Source organism: Homo sapiens, chromosome 2 (assembly GCF_000001405.40).
Source record: "Homo sapiens chromosome 2, GRCh38.p14 Primary Assembly".
Lineage (NCBI taxonomy): Eukaryota > Metazoa > Chordata > Mammalia > Primates > Hominidae > Homo > Homo sapiens.
The window spans coordinates 52,072,417-52,079,611 of NC_000002.12; the positions used below are offsets into that span (position 1 = coordinate 52,072,417).

At 35.9% G+C, this 7,195-nt stretch overlaps 1 long non-coding RNA gene and 1 pseudogene across 1 annotated transcript in view; both read left to right on the forward strand.

The window, feature by feature from the left end:
• NRXN1-DT (NRXN1 divergent transcript) overlaps positions 1-7,195 on the forward strand; it is a 1,375,317-nt gene that overhangs the window by 1,039,816 nt on the left and 328,306 nt on the right. The window lies entirely within an intron of this gene.
• On the forward strand, positions 3,682-5,024 carry ZNF863P (zinc finger protein 863, pseudogene; annotated as a pseudogene).

Consider the following 7,195-nt stretch of genomic DNA (forward strand, 5'->3'; position numbering starts at 1 on the left):
TATCCCCAAAAGGGCAATACTAGTGGGTTGGGAGAGGGAGTAAGTGGCACGTAAGGAATTCTGAAACATTGAGACAAGTATTAATTATGATTCATCTGTCCTTATTCCACTCTTGACTTCCTGAAAGAAAATGGTTTTATTTTTGAGTTGTCAAGAGTGTCCTTTATTATTGGTGTGGGCTGATATGATGAAATTAAAACAGAAAAATCCCATGACAACAATATTAACAACTGTTTAGGGCTAGATTGAAGCAAAACAAAAATGTAAGCCTAAAATAATATAATTAAAAGCTCATATTTGCTTATTTCAGGTAATCATGATATTGGCATTGCTTTGGATATTTGTTCCTGACTGCAAGAGATGGGCAAATATTTTCCATAAAGGATAAGATAGTAGATATTTTAGGCTTTTTCAGCCACATGTTATCACTATCACTTATTCCTGTCTTTAAAAAAACACAGTTTAACAGTGTAAAAATAATTCTTCTCTCAAGGGCCATTAAAATACTTCCAGGATATAGTATGCCAAACCTTGCTTATTACTGTTATAAACTACAGGATGTAAATATTAAAGATTTTAACAAATGCCCTTTACTCCTCTAAGTCTGGTTACTAAGGGAACTTTTTATTGCAACCATCTTATTTCTTAAAGATAAGCAGAGTTACGGCAGGGTAGAAATTCAGCTATATAACATAGGCATTACCCTGGATAACAGTCTCTTTTCTTTCAGTGTAGGCTAGAACTAGTGACTCACTTTTAATAAGTAAATAAGGCAATAGTGACAGTGTGTGACTGGGATACTTGGTAGGCCATTATAAAGCAGTATGGCTTTGCATTCTATATCTTAGACCACTTGCTACGGAAAAAGCCAGCTGTTATGTCATGAGCAATTATATAGAGAAGCCCATGAAGCAAGTGACTGAAGCCTCCAGCTAATAGCCATTTGAGTGGACTTAGAGTCAGAACCCCCAGCTCTAGTCAAGCCTCACCTGATTGAAGGTTTGACTGAAATCTTTGTTGTAGTTATGTGAGATACCTTAGGTTGAACCATAAAATACTAATGCAGAAATAAGTTACTACTAATTTAGAGATTTGTAACTAAAGTATAGTCATATTTAGAGACATGCACACCAGGTTTAGGAAAATATTTTTGAGAAGCATTCCTTAATAATAGATCTTCATATTTAGTTAATACATCAAATATCTCTGTTAATGACTCCTAAATTTATAAAGACTTATTCCCCAGACCCTAGTAATGTTCTTTTTCAGTCATCTTAATGTCAGTTTACTTAGTAAATATTTGAAATAAGTTAGTATGAGTAGCATTTTGCTCATTGTTTCTTTACATATCAAAGTCTGGCACTGATTTCTTACAGTAATTATATTTATCCTTAAATTATATCAGGTTAATTATATTAGTTTACCATATCTTAGCTCTTTCTACCCTTTGGTGCTATTCAGCAGAATGATCTGAATATGTGAGTCAATTTTCAGGAACTAAAACATAAAAAGGACCCGTGTACTTTACCTATAAGGATAATGAGTTAACAGTCACCTATACGCATTAGAAACAGATGAAATAGAAATCCTGACCTCAAAATAAATTTCTAATTTCTAAATAAAACACTTTGAGGAAGCAATGGACGTAGGCTAGAAGAAAAGTTATCAAACTTATTGTTAAATTAGTTACAAATTAGGCATTTAAAATATAATACTTTTTGGACTTTAAATATAGAATATAGTCTCCAAGGGACAGCACAGTATATTTATAGTGGTCTTCCCTCTAGCTAATTGAAATAGCAAATGTTTACCCTGGATCAACTCATGACAGTGCCACAGTTGAACAGATTAAGATTTACAGATTGTCACTGCTAATGGCTGCAGCTGCACTATTTTGGTGGCCCAGGAAGTGCGCTTGGCCAGGCAAGCACTGCATCTGCATGCTTAATGTTAACACTCAGGCCTTTTACAGATTTAATAAAATTGACAATTTATGCACAGACATGCCAGAATCTAGAGCCAAGGAAGACAAAATCACTAAGGTTGAGGGGTAAAAATTCAAGCTGCCTGCCAGAAGCATGTGCAGCTGCATTAGAAACAGGAAGAAGGTTCCATCGACACACCTGCTAGAGATGCCTACTTTGCAAAATCTCTGCTTTTTTCCTCCAGTACACAATTGTAGCACCGAGTTCATTATTGCTTACCTGTCTCTCCAGGTGAGATTCAGAGTCGAGGATTGTGTTGTTGATTCAATTTATTCAACAGGAGATACAACCCACTTGAAATTAAGTTACTTTGCCCACTGTTTTCAAAACTCAGGAAGACATTATGTATGTGTGGTATATCATCCTTGTCTTTCTCAATCCCACTTTTCAGTAAAGCAAAGCTTTGTTGTTGGAAAATATATGCAAATGGGAAGTTAGCAGCCAGTCCTTAAATTTCTAGATCTTTCTTTGCTATTTTGAGCCTTTCACATCTTAATGCCTTGTGGGAAGTTAGTCTGCAGTGTTACATTGTTTTGTGATCTAAGAGAAGGCCCCAGTATATCTGTATGAGAAATGCTGAGTGCCTGAATTCAAGCCATCACATTTGATTCAATGAAGTCAGTCCAATCTTACCATTTACAGAATGTGATGGTAAGGGCAGACATTTCTTCCCAACACACTATGTTTCTGTCAGGTAGAGAGAACTCATTAGCATATTAAATCTGGTTTTTAAAATAATTTGGCATAAGAAAGTGACCATGTATTGCTCCATCTCTGTCACATTCTTTCCTTTTTTGGAGTTTGTTTTTACTCAGGGAGTACATGCAATTTGGTGGATAAATCATTCTAATTTCATTTCAATATAAAGAAATCTATTTGCTCAGAAATATAAACCATTGTCAGATTTCAGAAAATGGTCTCTACCTACAACTTTGTCTACTAGTCTAAAAGCAGAAAGGAGAAAAGAGTGACTGTCTCAAATCTGAACAGTTATATTTTTGAGAGTTTGAAGAAAGAATAGATATACATTATAAACAATGTGGTAAAGCATTCACTGTTTCCGATTCCTGTCTAATACGTGAAGGAACTCAACTGGAGAGGAAGGCTATGAATGTAAGGAATGTGGGAAAGCATTGAGACGTTCTTGTTCTTTTAAAATGCATGAAAGGACTCACACTGGAGAAAGACCCTATAAATGTACCAAATGTGATAAAGCCTTCAGTTATTCCACTTCCCTTCATTATTGTCAGGCCTCTGAGCCCAAGCTAAGCCATCATATCCCCTGTGACCTGCACAAATACATCCAGGTGGCCTGAAGCAAGCGAAGAATCACAAAAGAAGTGAAAATGGCCGGTTCCTGCCTTAACTGATGACATTCCGCCATTGTGATTTGTTCCTGCCCCACCTTAACTAAGCGATTAACTTGTGAAATTTCTTCTCCTGGCTCAGAAGCTCCCCCACTGAGCACCTTGTGACCCCCGCCCTGCCCTCAAGAGCAAAACCCCCTTAGACTGTAATTTTCCACTACCTACCCAAATCCTATAAAATGGCCCCACTTCTATCTCCCTTCGCTGACTCTCTTTTTGGACTCAGCCTGCCCGCACCCAGGTGATTAAAAAGCTTTATTGCTCACACACAGCCTGTTTGGTGGTCTCTTCACATGGATGTGTGTGACAGTTACCATAGAAGCATTTATACTGGAGAGAGACCCTGTGAATGTAAAAAATGTGGTAAAGCCTTTAGTCGTTTCCGTTCCCTTTGTAACCATAGAAGTACTCATACTGGAGAGAAACTCTATGAATGTAAAAAAAAGTGATAAAGTCTTCAGTTGTCTCACTTCCCTTCACCTCCATGAAATAATTCATACTGGGAGAAAACGCTATGAATGTAAGACCTGTGATGAAGCCTACACACATTCCATGCCATGACTTACTTGCCATGAAAGAAGTCATGCTGGAGAGGCTGGTACAGTGGCTTACACCTGCAATCCCAGCACTTTGGGAGGCCAAGGTTTGTGGATTGCTTGAGCTTAGGCATTCACAACCAGCCTGGTCAACATAGTGAAACCCTATCTATACGAAAAATAAAATAATTAGCAGGGCATGGTGGTACAGGACTGTAGTCCCAGCTGCTTGAGAGACTGAGATGGGAGGATCACTTGAGCCTGGGAGGTCCAGGCTGTAGTCAGCTAATATCCTGCTGCTGCACTCCAGCCTCCTGGGTGACAGAGTAAAACCCTGTCTCAAAAAAAGAAAAAAGGAAAAAGAAAGCTGGGTGTGATGGCTCATAACCTGTAATCCTAGCACTTTGAGAGTCCAAAGTACGCAGATCACTTGAGGTCAGGAGTTCGAGACCAGCTTGCCCAACATGGCAAAACCCATCTCTACTAAAAATAAAATAATTAGCCAGTCATGCTGGCACATGCCTGTAGTTCCAGCTACTTGAGAGACTGAGATGGGAGGATCACTGGAGCCTGGAAGGTCGAGGCTGCAGCAAGCTGAGATCCTGCTACTGTAGTCCAGCCTGGACAATGGAGTGAGACCCTGTCTCAAAAAGAAGAAGAAGAAGAAGAAAAATTATACTGGAGAGAAAACTTATGAATTGTGGAAAAGCATTCAGTTGTATTAGTTCTTTTTCAAAGACATAAAAAGCCACAGGGGAAAAAAAAAAAAAGAAAAAAAAAGCCCTACGCATGTAAGAAATGTGGTAAAGCACTTACTCTTTCCATTTTCCTCATAAACATGAAAGAGCTCACACTGGAGAGAAACCTTAAAAATGTGAGAAATGTGGTAAAGCCTTCTGATTTTCTTTCTCTGATTTTCTCTTTTTCTTTTTTTCTTTTTTTTTTTTTTTGGAAGGCTTGGGAGGACTCATGGTGAAGAAAAGCCTTTTGAATTTAAATTTGTGGTAAGGCTTTCAGTTGTTCTAGTTCCATTTGAAGACAAGAACTCATTCTGAGAAAAGCCTTATGAATATCTAGAATGTGAGAATGCTTTCATTTCTCTCATATCCATTCAAGGACATATGAAAATGCACACTATAGCTGGATCTTGTAAATATAAGAAAGTACATGGGATTAAAACTCTAATAGGTTGGAAACTACAAGAAAGTTTTCAGTTTTAACATTTACTTCAAAAGAAATGTGAAAACTCCCACTGAAAGAAGTTCTATAAATGAAGTTTTTCTAATTTGGAAAGCCTGATGCAAATTAATTATTGTACGGTGCTTGAAAAGAATGCACATGGATGAAATGTTATGTAAATTAAAAATATATTGTTTTTATCAGTGGCTTGTTCTTCAAAAAGACCCTGGGGTATGCGTTTCGACTTATACTGGAGGAAAACATTGAGGTGAGAGTGTTGTACATGCTCTTTAACCGGTAGTACTTTAATAAGAAATGATATTTTCTTAAGTTTGTTGGTAGAATTTTTGTCTGTTCATTTGATAATATGCTGGATTCAGGGTTGAATTTTGATGTTTTTCTAATATGTAGATGCTTAGTTTTTATGTGTTGTCTTTTGATTAATGGATCAAGGAGTAACAAATGTTACTTGCTGGGATTTTCTTAATAGTCTTATTTGGCAAATTTTTGTTATCCCTTGTCCATTATACACATTCCACCTTTTTTTAATTAAGTGAAAATCTACTCTTGGTGTAAAGATGTTTATTTTTTGCTAATAATGTCTTGGTATTAATTCCTAAGTACATAAGATTTATCAGAGTATCAAAAAAAGAATAGATATACATTAGAAAGAGAACTAAATATTGTTCAAAATAGAATTTGAACATTACGGACTTGATCACATTTTAATTTTATATCATAAGTTTCTGACATGAGGTAACTATGAGGAGGAACAATATAGGAAGTAACACAGAGAAACAATTTCTTATTATCCCACCTCACAGTTCATCACTTCTAAATGCATTGTGTATTCACTATTCAGATTTAAAAAGAAAACAGTCTATCATTTTTGGAATGACCTAGTAGTTCAAATGAGAAAGTAGTCATAGAAAATAAACAAGAAGTCAATGCTTTGGACAGGAAGCAAGCAAAACTGAAGTTTCTCATGGGTCATGGTGTATGATTTCTGCCAAGGACAGCACTGTACAGTCGGAGTAAAAAGTTAGGTGAGGCTATTGTTCAGCCCAATATGCCAGAAAATTCTTTGCGATAAGACAACCCTATATAGAAAATAAGTTTGAAAAAATCTTAGGTATCCTGAGATTTTTATTTCTAAAGATTTGGGGTATATCTGCATGCGGTTACTTGCTTTGTTGAAGCCACTATAGCCCTTCGTAGACACTCACAGCAAAATTATCCCCATTTATCTCAAAATATTTGGTTTTCCACGTATGATCAAACAGCTCTTTTAGAACATGGTGTCTTTATTTTATCAGTTAGAGTGTTACTTGTGCACTCTTTATTCTCTTATATAAATTATAGTTTTATGAAGCTAATTCACATAAAAATTGAATAAAGTATTTTTTAAATAATAATCATTGCAGCAACAAATACCGATTGTTTTCATTTACAATTGGTCCTTCTGTATTCTTCCAATCTGCCTTAATATTTTTAGAGTTTTTTTTGTTTAATCCATCCTACATCAACATAACAATAGTTTGGATGATAATCATTCTTCTTTTGTGTATACTTAGTGGCAGGAAATGGTTGCAACAAACAGTGATATTATAAAATAATGGGGCTACATACTTGTGCTCACCACTGAATTGAATAAATTAAATTGAAGGCACGTGGAAATGGAGATAACTGACCTCTCATTAAGTAAACAAATGCTGAAAAATCCACTGTTGTTAGGGAGACTGTGGATAAAAAATGCTCTTTTTTCTTCTCAATTACGAGCTATCTCCACAGAACCATAACACACACACACACACGCATACACACACTCACATTTATTTTTCTAATGATAGTATTGAACCAAAATAGGGGAAATTATTCTGTGAGTAATTGAGGCTAGTGTAAAATTTTCCTCTCTCTACTAAGAAATGAATGTAAAAGGCTTACTCATATTTTATCATTTTAAGGTTTAAAGTAATAAACATGAATGTGTCAGAATAAATGTTTGATACTTCAAATCTGTGGAGAGAGTAATTTGTTCTATTTGAAGGTATGGAAGTAGTATAAATAGCTTGAATGATCCTACAAGATTAATGTGGTTTAAGATATAGATACAGACAAACTCTGATCA